This window comes from Homo sapiens, chromosome 1 (assembly GCF_000001405.40).
Source record: "Homo sapiens chromosome 1, GRCh38.p14 Primary Assembly".
Lineage (NCBI taxonomy): Eukaryota > Metazoa > Chordata > Mammalia > Primates > Hominidae > Homo > Homo sapiens.
This window is the reverse complement of record NC_000001.11, coordinates 224,547,122-224,567,023: the sequence shown is the minus strand read 5'-3', so window position 1 is coordinate 224,567,023 and position 19,902 is coordinate 224,547,122. Positions and strand designations below refer to the sequence as shown.

At 40.5% G+C, this 19,902-nt stretch overlaps 1 protein-coding gene across 13 annotated transcripts in view; it reads right to left on the bottom strand.

Moving 5' to 3' along the window:
- The window catches only part of CNIH3 (cornichon family AMPA receptor auxiliary protein 3), a 305,915-nt gene that overhangs the window by 173,531 nt on the left and 112,482 nt on the right, over positions 1 to 19,902 (bottom strand). For 7 of the 13 annotated variants that reach the window (NR_136289.1, NR_136288.1, NR_136293.2 and 4 more), the window contains one exon: positions 760 to 825. The exons of the other annotated variants lie outside the window; for them this stretch is intronic. The gene's annotated coding sequence lies outside the window, so the exon portion shown is untranslated. The remainder of the gene's footprint in view (positions 1 to 759; positions 826 to 19,902) is intronic. 13 annotated transcript variants of the gene reach the window in all.

Sequence of the window (19,902 nt, the reverse complement as noted above, 5' to 3'; positions counted from 1 at the left end):
CTGGAGAGGATGTGGAGAAATAGGAACGCTTTTACACTGTTGGTGGGAGTGTAATTAGTTCAATCATTGTAGAAGACAGTGTGGCGATTCCTCAAGGATCTAGAACTAGAAATACCATTTGACCCAGCAATCCCATTACTGGGTATATACCCAAAGAATTATATATCATTCTACTGTAAAGACACATGCACATGTGTGTTTGTTGTGCCACTATTCACAATAGCAAAGACTTGGAATCAACCCAAATATCCATCAATAATAGACTAGATAGAGAAAATGTGGCACATATGCACCATGGAATACTATGCAGCCATAAAAAATGATGAGTTCATGTCCTTTGCATGGACATGGATGAAGCTGGAAACCATCATTCTCAGCGAACTATCACAGGAACAGAAAACCAAACACCACATGTTCTCACTCATAAGTGGGAGTTGAGGAAGAAGAGCATAGACACAGGGAAGGGAATATCACACACCAGGGTCTGTCAGGGGATGGGGGATAGGGGAGGGATAGCATTAGGAGAAATACCTAATGTAGATGACGGGTTGATGGGTGCAGCAAACCACCATGGCACATGTATACCTATGTAACAAAACTTCATGTTCTGCACATGTACCCCAGAACTTAAAGTATAATTTAAAAAAAAAAGAAGAAGAAATTAAACTCATGCTTAATCCTGAAAAAAAAAATAAAGGAAAGAAAACATCTGTGACACAAAAGAGCCCCAAACCAAAGAGAGTTGCAAGTAATGCTGACCTTTTAGTAATAAAGGCTCTGGCACTGGTCTCTCCAGTTTGGCTTTGCTTTATAACCAGGAGGCAACTGGAAAACAAACAAAACATACAAGGTTTTATCACTTCATTCAAACAGACTTCAGAGAAGTGGCATCCAGGTATACTATAGAGATAATCAAATTCTATTGTTTGTCTAAGAGTCCACTGAATTTCTAAGTTAATTAAAGCAATGGGGAGAGAATAAAAAAAAAAAAACAGAAAGCCAGGCAAGGACTGTGTTTTCACTGGTGCTCCAGAAGATTCAGCAAGAAACAAGGGAGAGGAGAAAGGGAAACGAGCTGGCCAGACCTTCTCAGTGTGAGGGAAGCAAAGAATCACCGAGATGGTCCATTCATCTGCTCAACCACTGAGCACCCAGTGTGCACCAAGCTCTGTGCTGGAAAAATAAACACATAATTCCCTACCTCATGGAGAATGTAGCTCAGTAGGGGAAAGTCAGAAGCAAGTTGGCAATATGTGGTGTACAGGAGAAGCAGGGGCTGCCACGGGAGCACACAGCACCAGGCCTGGGGGCTCAGAAAAGCCTCCCCACAGGAAGCAACAGTGAATCTCAGACTCTCCTGCAGAGTAAGACCAGTTGGCCTGACATAGTGCATAGTGGGCTGAGGGAGGGGAGTATGAAGCAAGAGGAGAAAGCCTCAATCTGGAGAACAGCAAGCGTAGGGCTCAGGGAGCAAGCATGGGGTACAGGAAAAGGACAACTAGGTCAGAAGGCCTGGAGCAAAGAATGCAAGCAGGGTGGTGTCGGGTTCGCCACCTCTAAATATTATGCTCTCCATGGCTTCAGGCCCGCTGGACAAACCCAGGCAATGAACAGCCTCAGACCTGGAGAGCAGAACTCCTGACTCATACAGCTCATCTATCTTTGCACAGTGCCTTGTGTTCTTGCAGTCACACTCTTGGTTGCAGACACAATGCCAGCCGGAAATATGGCTGTGACAGGACAGTGACTCAGAGTATACAGTTGGGCAATGAGAACTTAAACCATAACTATAAGACTTTTTGCAAGAAAAACCTATTAGACAGAGACATACACACACTCAGATCAGCTACCCTAGCAACTCCTCCATTATATATTAAGAGGAGACCTCAAGCATTGCAAAATCTATTTGGGGGAATGGGGACCAGTTTTATTGCCTGCCTGTTCTTGAGAAAACTTGTGATAAATGGAATCAACTGAACCTTTTTTATTTTCAAATCTGCTCACACATAGCCTTAGGGTCATTTGTGATGTGAGACTGAAGGGGACTGGGATGCAGTGGATGACAGCTGCCCACCATCTGTCTGGTCCTAAACCATCCACCTTCCCACTGTAACTGCTCAGGCCCTCCTAGCCAGAGGCCTGTCAGGAGCCAATTGAGCTGTATCTATCCAGGTATCGTTACACATTTGTTTCAGTTGTGATTATTCTTTCTGGCAGACAAAGCCATCCTTGTGGAAGGTAGAGCAGGACAATCCCACCCAGGCACATGAACCAGGCAGCTGGCAGAGTGCATTGAGGTGGCTCTGCCATCTGCTGCTCAGAAGGAAGGGCCTGAGGCTCACACATGCCTCCAAAGCATGTAAACCCCAGACTTCACCAAACCAAGTGGTAACACCTCCATCCAAGTATCGTCAGCCCTTCTGGTCACATGGATGCATTGTGTGATTTCTCATCCTCTTCAAGTTTTAACCCTTGTCATTCACTTTGACCTGATAAAAATGCTGGGTTGCCAGTGGGAGGGGTTGAGAATAGGAAGCAAAGAGACTTCATAGTACGATTTGTCTTGCACTGGAGACAAATCAAGCCCTGGGATGGCCTTAGCCTCTTCTGTCCAGAGACGGTCCTGCTGAAAATAATAGATTTTATTCCTCAAAAAATTCATGTCATGGTTAGAGCTAAATCATTCTCCATTTTCGTCATTTTAGAAAACCAGAGATATAGTTCAAACTGGTAGTGACACCTTCTTCTACCACTCTGTGCCACCAGTGCCTAGCACACAAGCAGGTATTTATAAACAGTTATTGATACTATGTGATGAATTACTAGCACACAAGCCTGCTTATTTAGAAAAGGAAATTCTACAAAATCAAAGATCTAGAAGCACAGGTATGGACTATCCAGTAGAGAGTACACTTCAATATGTGGCTGCTCAAGAAGCCACTTATCAAATCAAACATAAGTGTGACTCTCATCACATGGGTCTTTTCAAAGTGGGGACCTATTCCTTTCCAGGATCTCACCTATTAGAAAAATGTATATTCACCCTATAGATTTTGTTTAAGATTCTGTCCTCTCTGTGGGGAGATATTTGGAGTTGTCACTCAGCAGCAGAGATCTGGAGGGACCAGATGGCTGGTAAAACAGGAGGCTATTCTCAATCCAGGGCCAACAGGAAAGCTGGAAGACAGAGCCCAAATTTAGTTTGAAACCTGATGCCCAACAGTATAAAATTAGAAATTCCTTTGAACCATCTGGTTCTTTTAAATAAATACCTGTTTGTCCAATCCTAGAATGGAAGGAGCTTCAAAGTCTAGCTCCCTTCCCTAAGACACAACATCTGTCCCATCCGTACTGAACAGCAGCCACGGGAGATACTTAATACTGGCTAGCTGACAGAGCCTAGGCTAATGGATGCCAATCTTAAGTACTCTAAAGTTCTTCAGAATCTTTCTAATTCCAATATCTCTTTCACTCTTCTCTTCCAACCACCAAATCCCCTCTTCTCACTCTCCCTGAGGCTAGAATACACACACACACACACACACACACACACACACACACACCCCGTCTAAAATATTTCAATGTAGTATTGTCCTTCTTCTGCCAACCCACCCATAACGATCATTCCTTCTCTACATTGCTCTACTTTCTATTGTCCTTCTCTCCCCTTCTCTGACAGTGATACGATTTATCCATAACCCCCCAAAAATCAACACTTCACACCCTTGTGAGGTGACTGTCTTAGTTCATTTTGTGTTGCTATAAAGGAATACCTGAGACTGGGTAATTTATAAAAAGAAGAGGTGTATTTGGCTTATGGTTCTGCAGCCTGTACAAGAAGCATGACCACATTTTACTGCTGGACATTTGCTTTGTATTAATAATAGTGAGTAATGATGCTATGAACATTCTTGGGCATGGCTTTTCATGTGTATATCCTATATTATGTAAAACCACTTCTAGGCACTTCCATACCTAGGAGTGGAATTTCCAGGTCACAGGATGAGCAATATTGAGTAGCAGATTTTGCAAACAGTTTCCCAAAGTGCTGGAATCATTTTACACACTCTTCAGTAGCACATAGGAACTTCTATTGCTCCTCACTCTTTTCAGCACTTTGTGTTATCTTTTAATCAGGACTCTCCAACCCCTGGTATCAGTCTGTGGCCTGTTAGGAACTGCGCCAGCATCTGCTCCTGGTGGGGACCTCAGGAAGCTTCCAGTTGCAGTGGAAGAGGAAGGAGAGCAGTGTGTCATATGGTGAGGGACGGGGCAAGAGAGAGACAGTGAGGGGAGGGGTGTCATGCTCTTTTAAACAACCACTCTCATGTGAACTAGTAGAGTGAGCACTCACTCATTAGGATGGGAAGGGCACCAAGCCATTCATGAGGGATCTGCCCACCTGATCCAAACACCTCCCATTACGCCCCATCTTCCAATACTGGGGATCAAATTTCAACATGAGATTTGGGGGGACAAATATCCAAACTATATCAGTCACCATCCCTAAATATTATAAAATAATCTGTCCCCAGCCAAATCAATGTATATCCCAGACCCTTCTCCCTTAAACCCACATTTTTCAGCCTTCACATGGCCTAAGATCTCTTCCACCACACATCATCTCACTACATGCTAACACCACCCCGACCTTTTATCTTGACTGGAGATGGCCTAACCTGAGTGATTTAGTGATTTCATCCCTTGGAAACAGAAGTGAAGAAGAGTCTGGAGTAGAAGGGTCAGCAGGGAAGACCCCAGGAAAGGAGAGTCAAATAGGACCTCCCTAAGTGCTTCCATTTTCTCTTGTATTCCAAAAGCCGGTTAAAGAGTAAATGAGATGATGTATAAATTCATCTAGTAAACTGTTGAAGCCCAATACAAAAGTAACAACATTGTTATTAAATTATTTCCACAAAAATCCCTTAATTAGCATAGAAATAGTGTCATTATATTTCCCTCAAATGAGTTCCTTTTCAGTGACATGGTGATCAAGTCTCAATGTTGGAGGTGTCTTCAACTCCACCCCCTCCCTTGCCCTCTACATTGTTAGGCACAAGTTTCCATGCACTCTTCTTCGAGAAAGTCCTTCAATCCATTCTCCATATCCATTCTCTTTTGGCCTGAACTTAGCCCAGCCCTTTGTCCCTTTGACACTGAAGCATGACTCTCTTATTCTAGGTTCTACTCACCCTATGTGAGCTCAGGTCCTCCAATAAGCTGATGTTAACATGAACCAGACATGCAAGATACTTGTTGGGGGAGATACTTGGGCAGGATAGAGAGGGAGAGAGCATGCATAGGCAGAGGGAGCCTTCAGACCACACTTGTCTGACACCATTGACAAGAGGGAAAGAAGACTGGTAGGAAGATCCTCAGACCACACTGCAGTTCTAAGAAAGTCTCGTTTGGCTGACGGGTAGTATCTAAGCCCAGGTTCCCATTAGAAGAGGCCACATCGAGCAGAATTGGCCCAGCTTTAGTACCTTCAACATGTCAATGAGGGACAGACGCAGCTCAGGGAAAGTGTGGCCCCAGCATAAAGATCAGAGTAATGAGGAAAAGATAGCTTCTCAAGTACTAAGTGAAACGGATAGACAAAGGCAAAAACTGAAACTTGACTCCCTCTCATGCCATTCACAAAAATCAGCTCTGGGTGGATTGTAGATCTAAGTTTGAAATGATAAAACTTTTAGAAAATTATATATAGGAAAATTCATGACTGAGAAAGGAAATCTGTAAACCATAAAGGAAAAGAGAGATGCACTAGAATACATTAAAGTTAAGAATTTTTATTTACCAAAATTAAGAGCTTCTGTTTTGATAAGTAGAAGAGTGAAAAGACAAACAAAAGTGGGAAAGTGTCATTTTAATACATATAACTAAGAGGCTCATAACCAGACTATATTAAAAACTGGTAAAAGTTAATCAAAAGCAAAATAACAGAGAACCCAGTAGAACAAAGGGTAAGAAACTCAAACTGGTATTCCACAAAAGAGGCCATGCAAATGGCCAGTAAACATATATAGGTGCTGAATATCATTAATCACGAGGGAAATGCAAATTGAAATCACGAGATACATTCAACAGACACCTGAATGGTTAAAATCTAAAACAGTGGTCTCCAAACTTTTTGGCACCAGGGACGGTTTCATGGAAGACAATTTTCCCACAGACCCAGGGGAATGGTTTCAGGATGATTCAAGTGCATTACTCTTATTGTGCACTTTATTTCTATTATTACATTGTAATATATGATGAAGTAATTATTCAACTCACCATAATGTAGAATCCGTGGGAGCCCTGAGCTTCTTTTCCTGCAACTAGATGGTCCCATCTGGGGGTGATGGGAGACAGTGACAGATCATCAGGCATTAGATTTTCATAAGGAGCATGTAACCTAGATCTCTTGCATGCACAGCTCACAATAGGGTTCACGCTCCTATGAGAATCTAATGCCACCACTGATCTGAAAGGAGGCGGAGCTTAGGTGGTAATGCAAGCAACGGGGAGCAGCTCTAAATGCAGATGAAACTGCACTTGCTCACCCACTGCTCGCCTCCTGCTGTGGGGCCCGGTTCCTAACAGGCCACAGAGTGGTACCAGGGGTTGGAGGGTCCTGATTAAAAGATAACACAAAGTGCTGAAAAGAATGAGGAGCAATAGAAGTTCCTATGTGCTACTGAAGAGTGTGTAAAATGATTCCACCACTTTGGAAAACTGTTTGCAAAATCTACCACTCAATATTGCTCATCCTGTGACCCAGAAATTCCACTCCTAGGTATGGAAGTGCCTAGAAGTGGTTTTACATAATATAGGATATACACATGAAAAGCCATGCCCAAGAATGTTCATAGCAGCATTACTCACTATTATTAATATGAAGCAAATGTCCAGCAGTAAAACTGTGGTCATATTCATTCTATGGCATACCATAGTGAAAAGTAATGCATCAAAACTACACCCAACAATATAGATAAATTTCACAAATACAATGCTGAGTGACACATATTCTATGATTATATAAAGTTATAAATATATAAAGTTCAAAAATAGTTGAAACTAAAATATCATATTTAGGGATTCATACTTAGGTGGTAAAACTATTGGAAAAAAATGCAAAGACATCATAACCATGAAGACCAGGATAGTGGTTACCTTTAGGGAGAGGGAAAGAGTATAACTGGGGAGGGGTATGCAGGGCCTACTGGAATGCTAGCAGTAGACTATTTTTGCCCTGAGTGTTTGCTTTATAATAATTCAAAAAAACTTTACTAACATATTTTATGCATTTATCTTAATTGTGTTATATTTCTCAATGTTTTTTAAAAGGAATTCTTTTTTAAAAAAATTACAGATGTAGTGGCTCATGCCTATAATCCCAGCACATTGGGAGGCCAATGTGGGAGTATTGCTTGAGGTCAGGAGTTGGAGATCAGCCTGGGCAACACAGTGACACCCCATCTCTACAAAAATTTTAAAAATAAAAACACTAGCCAGTCATGGTGGCATGTGCCTGTAGTTCTAACTACTTGGAAGGCTGAGGCAGGAGGATCCCTCGAGCCCATGAGTACAGGGTTACAATGAGCTACGATAGGGCCACCACACTCCAGCCTGGGTGACGGAGCAAGACCTAAAAGCTTAGTGTAACAGAGAATAAGTGAAAAACCCAGCAAAACATAGAAGACTAATCACAAATGAGTTAGTTTCATCACACGATAAACCATGTTTATCATTTTTTTAAAACAAAAGAAGTGGGAAACAGAAGGTATTATTAATAGAAACATCCTCTGAAGCAAAACTGTCTGCCTAGAACCCAAACAGTATAGAAAGGGTAGAAATTACTCTGCCTCTTCCTAGCAGGCAAAGATTCCCTTCCCTTCACCTGGCTGGCAGTTTGAATTGCAAGGAAAGATGAAACACTGTGACTCATGTTGGCAAAAGATGATTGAGGACTAATTTTACCAACGTACTTTAGGTACCAGTTTGCAAAGCGTGCTTTTAAGTACTCTGATAATTAATGGGTAAGCTGGCAGGCACTTTTTCACTCAAATACATTTATTTCTTAATTAAAACGACATGCAGATGTTAACATTTATTAATTATTTTACTAGTTCACAGCAATATAATTAACTGACTTTAAAAAGCTGAAAATGATACTGCCATCCTTCAGAAGTTGCAGCATTTGGTCTAAATGAAAATGTGAAGTAGGAAAAGGTGTCCTCGTTTCACAGTCTCTCTCCCCACATCTCTCCCCTGTGACTGCTTACAAAGTGGGCTGTAATAATTCTTCCCAACCCAGTGCATGTGCCCCTTTGCAATGTGACTTTGTCACCACTCCCATCAAGGGGTGGGGACTTTTTCCCCACTAGGGACTGACTAAGGAGGAGGAGTGGTGGGAGCAGTTTACTCCAGTGGGGAAGAGAATTTTATTGCATTGTTTAGAATTGCTAGCACACAGTGATAATAAAATAAAAAGCAACCAACTTTTCATTAGTTTTATTATTGCTTTTCAATTCTCTACAGAAAATGCACCCTCTTACTGTCTGCACCCAGGAGTTGTTCTCCCACTGCCAATCACTTCCCTGCTTGGTATTCCATCGTTCCCCACCTCTTGAATCTGAGCAAGCCTGGGACTTGCTTTGACCAATAGTATGTGGTGAAAATGACACTTTGGGACTTCCAAGCCAAGACCTCAAGACATTTGCAAATTTTGCTCTAGTCCTCTTGGAACCCTGAGACCTCCATGTGGGGAAGCTGAGCATGGCCTCCTTGAAGATAGAAGAACACATGAAAAGAGAGGTCCAGCTGATAGCCAGCACCAGTTATCATCAGGCAGGTGAGTGGGGCCATCTTATATCGTTGACCCCAATCCAGCCATCAGATGGCTACAGCCACATGAGTGACTCCAGGCAAGACTGGCAGAAGAACTTCCCAGCTGAGCCCAGGCCAAATGGTTTACCCACATATTTCTGAGCAGTTCGAATGGTTGTTTGAAGTCACTAAATTGGGTTCTCATCCTAGCTCTTCCTCTTAGTGGTGAGACCACGAACAAGTCAATTAACTCTTCTAAGCCTTTTCCTTTATCTGTAAAATGGGGATAATGATATAGAACTTTCTACAGATGACTGTGGTAAGGACTGAATAGGATTATGTGTATGTGCCAGGGTGGAGGCACTAAGATGTGAAAGGTGCTAGATACCAAAATGAGTATGAACATATCCCACTGAAGGAATTCTCAAAGTAGACAGTTAAGAACTGGTTGAGGGCCAGGTGTGGTGGCTTGCACCTGTAATCCCAGCACTTTGGGAGGCCGAGGCAAGTGGATCATTTGAGGTCAGGAGTTCAAGATGAGCCTGGCCAACATGGCAAAACCCCCTCTCTACTAAAAATACAAAAATTAGCTGGGCATGGTGGCACGTGCCTGTAGTCCCGGAGGCTGAGGCAGGAGAATCACCTGAACCGGGGAGGTGGAGGTTGCAGTGAGCTGAGATCGTGCTGCTGTACTCCAGCCTGAGCGACAGAGCGAGACTCTGTCTAAAATAAAAAGAACTGGTTGAGGACTCTTGAACCCCTCAGTTCCACCTCAAGGGAGTAAAGACAGAGAGAGGATTTTGTGAGGGGGTTTTCTTTGAAGAAAGCACTATTGTAAGACTCCTTCTAAGAGGGGAAAGTGGGCTGGGTGCAGTGGCTCACACCTGTAATCCTAGCACTTTGGAAGGCTGAGGTGGGAGTATTGTTTGAGCCCAGGAGTTTGAGACCAGCCTGAGCAACACAGCAACACCCTATCTCTACAAAAAACTAAAATAAAAATAATTAGCCAGGCATGGTGATGCATGCCTGTGGCCCCAGCTACTAGGAGTCTGAGGTGGGAGGATCACTTGAGCCTGAGAGTTGGAGGCTGCAGTGAGCTGTGATCGCACCAGTACATTCCAGACTGGGTGACAGAGTGAGACCCTCTCTCAAAAATACAAAAGAGGGGAGGCTGCAGAGTGCTTCCCTCTCTCTTCAAGCCTGTTTGAGAATGGGTCCTTCACCAAGGCTGCTCAGAGAGCCTGAAATGTGCTCCTTGTAGTCCAGGAGCTCCTCAGATTCATGCCTGAGAAAGTGAAACAGCAAAGGGGAGGGTTGTCTTTGGGACACAAGGTCTAGAGAGCAATTTTATACCAGGGAGCTGCTGCCTAGACCAGGGATCCCCAACCCGCAGGCCACTGACTGGTACCGGTCCGTGGCGTGTTAGGAACCAGGCCACACAGCAGGAGGTGAGCAGTGGGTGAGAGAGCACTACTGCCTGAGCTCTGCCTCCTGTCAGATCAGTGGCAGCATTAGATACTCACAGGAGCGTGAATCCTTTCGTGAACTGCGCATGCAAGGGATCTGGGTTGTACATTCCTCATGAGAATCTAACGCCTGATGATCTGAAGTGGAACAGTTTCATCCTGAAACCATACACCCTGCCCCATCCATGGAAAGATTATCTTCCATGAAACCAGTCCCTGGTACCAAAAAGGTTGGGAATTGCTGGCCTAGAGGGTCCAGCAAAAGTGTTTGAGGGAATCTATGGAAGAAAGTAAGGTTTAAACAGCTGCCAGCTCCAAAGAACACAAAGCCAGCCAGTTTGGAATAGAATCTATGAAGCGGGTACTATTACTATCATTTTACTAACCAGAAATGGAGGCTTAGAGAGGTTAAGTGGTTTGCCTAAGGTCATACAGTAAGTACCACAGACAGGATGAGAATCCAAGCTGATTCTTAACTATGCTATTCCAGATTACCTAGTAAACCACATGTGAAATAGACAGACACCATCACCAAGCAAGAACAAGTGATAAAAAAAAAAAAAAAGATAGGAAAACCAAGCTATAGGCATGGCAGGTTCTCTGTTGTCCCAGGAAACAAACTGGATGTCCTATGCCTGCAGGCAAAGAATTGAAACAAGTAAATGAGAGCACTTTGAGACAACATCAATATACCATGCCAGCTGTAATGTACGACCCTTCCTCAGCAGTCTTCACTCAGCTCCGCCTGTAAAAAACCCCAGCAGCCAGTGAGTAAAGCCGGCTGCGGCAGGAAGGTCTTTACAACCATCTAACTGGTGGGAGTCAATATTCTGCCAGCTGTAGGAAACAAGGAACCATGGAGGATGACCGGGAGCATGGCCATTTCATTCATTAGGTCCCACAGCCGCAGTGCGGAACCTACAAAGTCAGTCAAGGGCAAGGGAAAGGTTTGAGACCGAGGAAAAAAAAAGGATTAGCTCAAAACTCTAAAAGGAACATTGCTAATTCATAATCGATAACTTTTAATGAAATCTCTACCAAAAGTAACGTTATGCCAACCTTGTTTGTTAAATTAATATTCATAAGTATTTCATTACATTTGTAAACAATCTGTAGGTTAGGCTTCCTTACTTCACAAGAATTCCAAGTGTGGGTGAGAAATCACAGGAATTGAAAATTAAAGAAGTTGTTCATAGCCTGATCATTTCAAAGGCAAAATTGTTATTTGTTAAAAGTCTTCCAAAATACTTATAGAAGAAAAAGTTACATTTAATATAGCATTTTATTTTTTTTATTGTGCAGGTTAGGGGCCTCTAAAAGGATGAGTTCCTAGAATCTTTAAACAGTGTCATCCTGAACAAGGAAAGAAGGGCCATTAAAGCCATCAATGAATTCAAGTTTTTCACACAATGTCTGAGATGTGGGTGATTCTTCACTAAATCTTCATTACATTTACAGGCGACACTTTCTGTGACAGCACAGGATCTGAAGTCTGACTGCCCCAAATCAAATCCCCACTCCACACTTAGCTGTGTGTCCTGGGGCAAGTGGCTCAATCTTTTTGAGCCTCATTTTCCTTATATGTGAAGGATGGAGATTAATGAACCCACTTCAAAAGGTTGGGGGAACTGAGCTAACACAATCATCCCACAGTATCCACGGGGGATTGATTCCAGGACACTACCACCTCCCCTACTACCCCCAACAAATACCAAAACCCACGGATGCTCAAGTCCCTGATATAAAATTGTGCCATATATTTGCATGTAACCTATTCACATCCTCCTGTATACTTTAAATCATCTCTAGATTACTTACAATACCTGATGCAATGCTATGTAAGTAGTTGTTATACTGGACCAAGCACAGTGACTCATGCCAGTAATCCCAGCACTTTGGGAGGTCGAGGCAGAAGGATCACTTGAGCCCAGGGGTTAAAGACCAGCTTAGGCAACATAGTGAGACCCCATCTCTACAAAAACAATAATGATTATTATCTGGTCATGGTGGCATACAACTGTAGTTCCACCTACTCAAGAGGCTGAGGTGGGAGGATTACTTAACCCTGGGAAGTCAAGGCTTCACTAAGCCGTGATCACACCACTGCACTCCAGTCTGGGTGACAGAACAAGACCCTGACTCGAAACAACAACAACAACAAAAAAAAAACCTACAAAAATTGCTGTTATTATACTATAATACTATATTGTTTAGGGAATAATGACAAGAAAAAAAGTCTGCAGGTGTTCAGTACAGATGCAACCACCCATTTTTTTAAAAAATCTTTTCAATCCTCAGTGGGTTGAATCTGTAGATGTGAAACCCATGATACAGAGGGGTGACTGTACATGTAAAGCACTGTACAGTCCTGGCACACAGTAAATGTTGAATAAACGTTAGTTGTTCACAGAAACTTGGATCTGCCAAGAGAACCCCACCCCACGGCCTTACTGTGTAATCCATTTTTATGTCTTTCCCAGGTGAGTGTGTGCAAAGGTGGAGATGCTTCTTCAACAAGTTTCCTCCTGCACTAAGTCAGGGCCTGTCTGCCAGACAGAAGCCAAGCAGGAGTTCAGGGTCAAGCGCCAGACAGGAGCTGAGCAGATAGAGCTATTAATAGAAATCTAGGGCCCAGGCATTACGTTCAGAATGGTGCCCCTTACTCCATGTTGGTTCTAAAAATCATTTTCCAGCACCCTTGTGGTGGGTTATTTATGTCTATGGTAATAAAAAGGAGAATTTTTACAAGGCTATGTAATGAATGAATCCTCAACAAACTGAGTGGTTGATCTGCAGCAGATGGATTTGTTCTACAGAGGTACGAAGTATTTGAGTGCAAATTCGCTGTTTTATAGACCCATAGAGGATCAAGATAACTGTCTATAAATATCTATTTGGCTGAGGGTAGTGGGAGAAAGAGGGAGGGAGGGAGGGAGGCAGGGAGACATAAAGCCAAATAATTTGTAGTATAAACTCACTTGTATTAAAAAAAAAAAAGAAAGAAAGAAAAACCCAAATTCCACTCTTGTTTATACTACATGTGGAAATGCACAGAAGACTGGAGGGTGCATGTCAAACTGTTTGCAGTGCTAATTCTCACTGGGGAGCAGAGCAGACTTTCCACAGCGGGCTGTAGCAGGAGCACAACAGGAAGCAGAGGGCACTAACAGCCTGAAGGGATGCCCACAATCTAAAAGGAATGAAATTTGGTGAACCAGCCGGGTCCCAGAACCTTGAGCTGAACTCACAATATGGCCACATCGCACCAGAGGTCTCCCAGTGAGATTGGGTTGTGAGAATGAGCATTGAGGAATTCTTGCCAGGGAAGAAGAAACCCCATCTGCATCTTTCAAGCGAAGTAGCATCACCAGGCAAGGACGGCAGAAAACAACCTGGATGTTATAGATATATCTAAGGGAGATACATTACTCTTAATATCACAGGGGGTGTACACCCTGTGATATTATTTGTAATATCTAAGGGAGATATGTTGCTCCTAATATCTAAGGGAGATATATTGCTCCTAATATCACAGGGGGTATACCCCCTGTGATATTATTCATGATATCTAAGGGAGATGATATATTACTTGTAATATCACAGGGAGTGTACACCCTGTGATATTATTCATACTATCTAAAAGAGATATATTACTCCTAATATCACAGTGGGTGTACACCCTGTGTATACACCCTATGATATTAATCATAATATCTAAGGGAGATGTATTGCTCCTAATATCACAGGAGGTGTACACCTTGTGTGTACACCCTGTGATATCATTCATAATATCTAAGAGAGATGATATATTACTCCTAATATAACAGGAAGTGTATATCCTGTGATATTATTCATAATATCTAAGGGAGATGATATATTACTCCTAATATCACAGGGAGCATACATCCAATGTCTACCCTCTGTGATATTATTTGTAGTATCTAACGGAGATATATTACTCCTAATATCACAGGGAGTGTACACCCGGTGATATTATTCATAATATCTAAGATATATATATAATATCTAAGCGAGATACATTACTCCTAAAATCACAGTCCACCCTGTGATGTTATTCATAAGATTTAAGGGAGATATATTATTCCTAAGATCACAGTTGGTGTACACCCTGTGATATTATTCATTATATCTAAGAGAGATATATATAACTCATGAGAGTACAGTGAATGTACATCTTGTGATATTATTCCTAATATCTAAGGGAGATATTACTGCTAATATCACAGTGGGTGTACACCCTGTGATATTATTTGTAATATCTAAGGGAGATATTACTCCTAATACCACAGTGGATGGACGCCCTTTGATATTATTCATAATATCTAAGGGAGATGATATATTACTCCTAATATCACAGGGAATGTAAACCCTGTGATATTAGGATTAATATATAAGGGAGAGGATATATTTCTCCTAATATCACAGAGGGTGTATGGCCTGTGATATTATTCATAATATCTAAAGGAGATGATACATTACTCTTAATATCAGAGTGGGTGTTAACCCTGTGATATTATTGGTAATATCTCAGGGAGACAGATTACTCCTAATATCACAGGGGGTATACACCCTGTGATATTATTTGTAATATCTAAGGGAGATATATGACTTCTAATACCACCGAGGGTGTTCTCCATGTGTGTTCACCCCCTGTGATATTATTCATAATATCTAAGGGAGATATGTTACTCTTAATATCACACGGGGCGTACACAGAGGGAGTACAACCCGTGTGATATTAGTAGTATAACTCCCTTAGACATTACAAATAATACAACAGTGGGTGTACACAGAGGGAGTACACCCCATGTGATATTAGTAGTATAACTCCCTTAGATATTACAAATAATACAACTGTGGGTGTACACAGAGGGAGTACACCCCCTGTGTAATCCCTGTGATTTTATTCATAATATTTTTGGGAGATGTATGACTCCTAATATCACAGTGGGTGTACTCCCTCTGTGTACACCCACTGTTGTATTATTCATAATATCTAAGGGCGATATACTACTCCTAATATCAAATTCCTAAAATATCCAGGGTGTACACACTGTGATATTAATGAAATAACATAGCTGTGATATTTCTATAATATCTAGTGTTTACACACTGTGATATTAATGAAATAACGTCACTTTGATATTTCTCTATAATCCAGGTGTTACACCCAATGTTAATACACTGTGATATTAATGAAATATCATCCCTCTGATATTTCTATAATATTCGGTGATTACATACAATGTTTGTCCACTGTGATATTAACGAAATATCATCGCTCTGCTTCATCCATGTTCCTACAAAGGACATGAACTCATCATTTTTTATGGCTGCATAGTATTTCATGGTGTATATGTGCCACATTTTCTTAATCTAGTCTATCATTGTTGGACATTTGGTTTGATTCCAAGTCTTTGCTATTGTGTGAATCATGCCGCAATAAACATATGTGTGCATGTGTCTTTATAGCAGCATGATTTATAATCCTTTGGGTATATACCCAGTAATGGGATTGCTGGGTCAAATGGTATTTCTAGTTCTAGATCCCTGAGGAATCGCCACACTGACTTCCACAATGGTTGAACTAGTTTACAGTCCCACCAACAGTGTAAAAGTGTTCCTATTTCTCCACATCCTCTCCAGCACCTGTTGTTTCCTGACTTTTTAATGATCGCCATTCTAACTGGTGTGAGATGGTATCTCATTGTGGTTTTGATTCGCATTTCTCTGATTCTCAGCAAACTATCGCAAGGACAAAAAACCAAACACCACATGTTCTCACTCATAGGTGGGAATTGAACAATGAGAACACATGGACACAGGAAGGGGAACATCACACACCGGGGCCTGTTGTGGGGTGGGGGGAGGGGGAGGGATAGCATTAGGAGATATAACCTAATGTTAAATGACGAGTTAATGGGTGCAGCACACCAACATGGCACATGTATACATATGTAACTCACCTGCACATTGTGCACATGTACCCTAAAACTTAAAGTATAATAAAAAAAAGAAAAGAAATATCATCGCTCTGATATTTCTATTATATCCAGTGTTTACACACTTTGATGATATTTATGAAATATCACTTTGATAGTTCTATAACGTTCAGTGTTTGCCCACTGTGTGACATTAAAGAAACACCATCACTCTGTTATTTCTATAACATCCTGTGTTTACACACTGTGATATTACTGAAATAACATCGCTCTCATATTTCTATAATATCCAGTGCTTACACACAGTTTACACACTGTGATATTAATGAAATATCATTGCTATGATATTTATTTAACATTTAGTGTTTATACATTGATATTAATGTAATATCTTCGCTCTGATATTTCTATAATATCCAGTGTTTACACAGTTTTTACACACTGTGATAATAATGAAATAACATTGCTCCGATATTTCCATACTATTCAGTGTTTACACACTGTGATATTAATGAAATATCATCGCACCTATTTTCTATAAAATCTAGTGGTTACACACACTGTTTACCCACTGTGATATTAACGTAATATCATTGCTCTGATATTTCTAAAATATCCTGTGTTTACACACAGTACATGTACATTGTGATATTAATAAACTATCATCACTGATATTTCTATAATATCTACAGTTGTCACACTGTGACATTAACAACTGTAGATATTATAGAAATATCATCCCTCTGATATTCTATGATATCCTGTGTTTACACACTGTGATATTAATGACATATAATCGCTCTGATATTTTTATATTATCCGGTGGTTACATACAGTGTTTACACACTGTGAAATTAATGAAACATTATCACTCTGATATTTCTTTAATAACCAGTGTTTACATGCTGTCATATTAATAAAATATCATGGCTCTGATATTTCTATAATATCCAGTATTTGTAATTGTAAATGTAAGCACTGTGATAATAATGAAACATCATCACTCTGATATTTCCATAGTATTCAGTGTTTACACACCATGATATTAATGAAATATCATCACTCTCATAGTTTTATAATATCCAGTGTTTACACCCTGTGGTATTAGTGAAATATCATCGCTCTGGTATTTCTATAATATTCAGTATTACATACTATATTTCTGATATTTCTATAATATTCCGTATTTACAGCCTCTGATATTAATGAAATGTCATCGCTCTGATTTGTCTGTAACATTTAGTGTGTGCATACAGTCTGTGATATTAAGAAAATATCATCACTCTCATTTGTCTGTAACAACCAGTGTGTGTGTACACACTGTGATATTAAGGAAATATCATCACTCTGATATTTCCATTATATCCAGTGTATACACACTGTGATATTAATGAAATATCATATTAATGAAATAGAATCCGTCTGCTATTTCTATAATATCTAGTGTGTTTGTACACACTGTGTTATTAAGGAAACATCATCACTCTGATACATCTATTCATCCAGTGTGAGTACACACTGTGATATTAAGGAAATATCATTGCTCTGATATTTCCATAACATCCAGTGTGTGTGTACACACTATGATATTAATGAAGCATCATTGCTCTGATATTTTTATAACATCCCCTCTGTGTGTACACACTGTGATGTAAATGAAATATCATCGCTCTGATATTTGTAATAATTATTTGTAATAATGTGTACACAAAGTGTACACCACTGTGATATTACGAGTAGTATCACCATGGGATACTATGAATAATGTCCCAGGGTGTACACACAGGGTGTACACACACTGTGATGCTATGAAAAGTATCTCCCTTGAATACTACGAACAATGTCCTAGAATGTACAAGCAGGGTGTATAACCACTGTGATATTACAAGTAGTATCTCCCTGGGATACTACGAATAACGTCCCAGGGTATACACACAGGGTGTACACCCCCTGTTATATTATGAGTAGTGTCACCTTGAAATGCTACAATGTGCCAGGGTGTACACACAGGGTGTACACCCCCTGTGATATTAAGAGTAGTATCTCCCTTAGATGTTACTAATAATATCACAGGGTGTCCACACAGGGTGTACTGCCATCATGATAGTGGCAGTAATATCTCCCTTAAATATTACAAATAATATTACAGGATGTACACACAGAGTGTACTCCCACTATGATATTAGGAACAACATCTTTTTAGAAATAATGAATAATATCACAGGATGTACACTGACAGTGATATTAAATGTAATATCTTTTATCGATATTATGAATAATATCAGAGGGTATATACCCACTGTTATATTAGGAGTGACATCTCCCCTATATATTACAAATAATATCACAGGGTGTACACACAGGGTGAATGCTTACTGTGATATTAGGAGAAATATTTCCCTTAAATATTACTAATCATATCACAGGGTGTACACCCACTGTGATATTGAAAGTAATGTCTCCCTTTGATATTGCGAGTAATATCACAAGGTGTACACATAGGGTGTACATTAATTGTGATGTTAGGAGTAATATCTCCCTAAGATATTGCCTATAATATCACAGGGTGTACACCCATTGTGATATTAGGAGTAATGTATCCCTTAGATATTACAAAAAATATCCGAGGGTATGCACCCACTGTGATATTAGGAATAATATCTCCCTTATACGTTATAAATAACATCACGGGGTGTACACCCACTGTGATATTAGGAGAAGTATCTCCCTGAGATGTTATGAATAATATCATGTGGTGTACACTTACTGTGATATTAGGAGTAATATCTCCCTTAGATCTTACAAATAATATCACCAGGTGTACATAAAGGGTGTCTACCCACTGTGATATTGGAGTAATATCTCTCTTAGATACTATAAACAATATCATGGGGTGTACACACAGGGTATACTCCCACTTTGATATTAGGAATAATATCTTCTTTAGATATTACAAATAATGTCACAGGATGTACACCACTGTGATATTGGAAGTAATATCTCATTCGGTATTACGAATAATATCACGAGGTATACACCCATGTGATATTAAAAGTGATATCTCCCTTAGTAGATATATGAATAATATCATGGGGTGTACACCCACTGTAATATTAGGAGTAATACCTCGCTTAGATATTACAAATAATATCACGGGGTGTACACGCACTGTGATATTAGGAGTAACATCTCCCTTATATATTATGAAGAATATCACAGGGGGTGTACACACAGGGTGTTTCACCCCCCTTAATTATTACTAATACTATCACAGGGTGTACACCCACTGTGATATTAAGAATAATAGTTCCCTTAGATATTATGAATACGATCACAGTGTGTACACCCACTGTAATATTAGGGGTAATATCTTTTTTCAGATATTATGAATAATATCACAGGGTATATAGCCACTGTGATATTAGGGGTAAGATCTCCTTTCAGATATTACGAATACTGTCACAGGGTGTACACCCACTGTGATATTTGGAGTAATATCTCCTTTCGGATATTATGAATGATATTACAGGGTGTACACCCACTGTGGTATTAGGAGGAATTTCTGGCATTATTTCCAGATTAATTGAGAATTACAGGGCCCTCTTTATTCTTCCCCAGTCATCTGCCAAATTGCCAGAGAAGCTGGAACATCTCCAGTT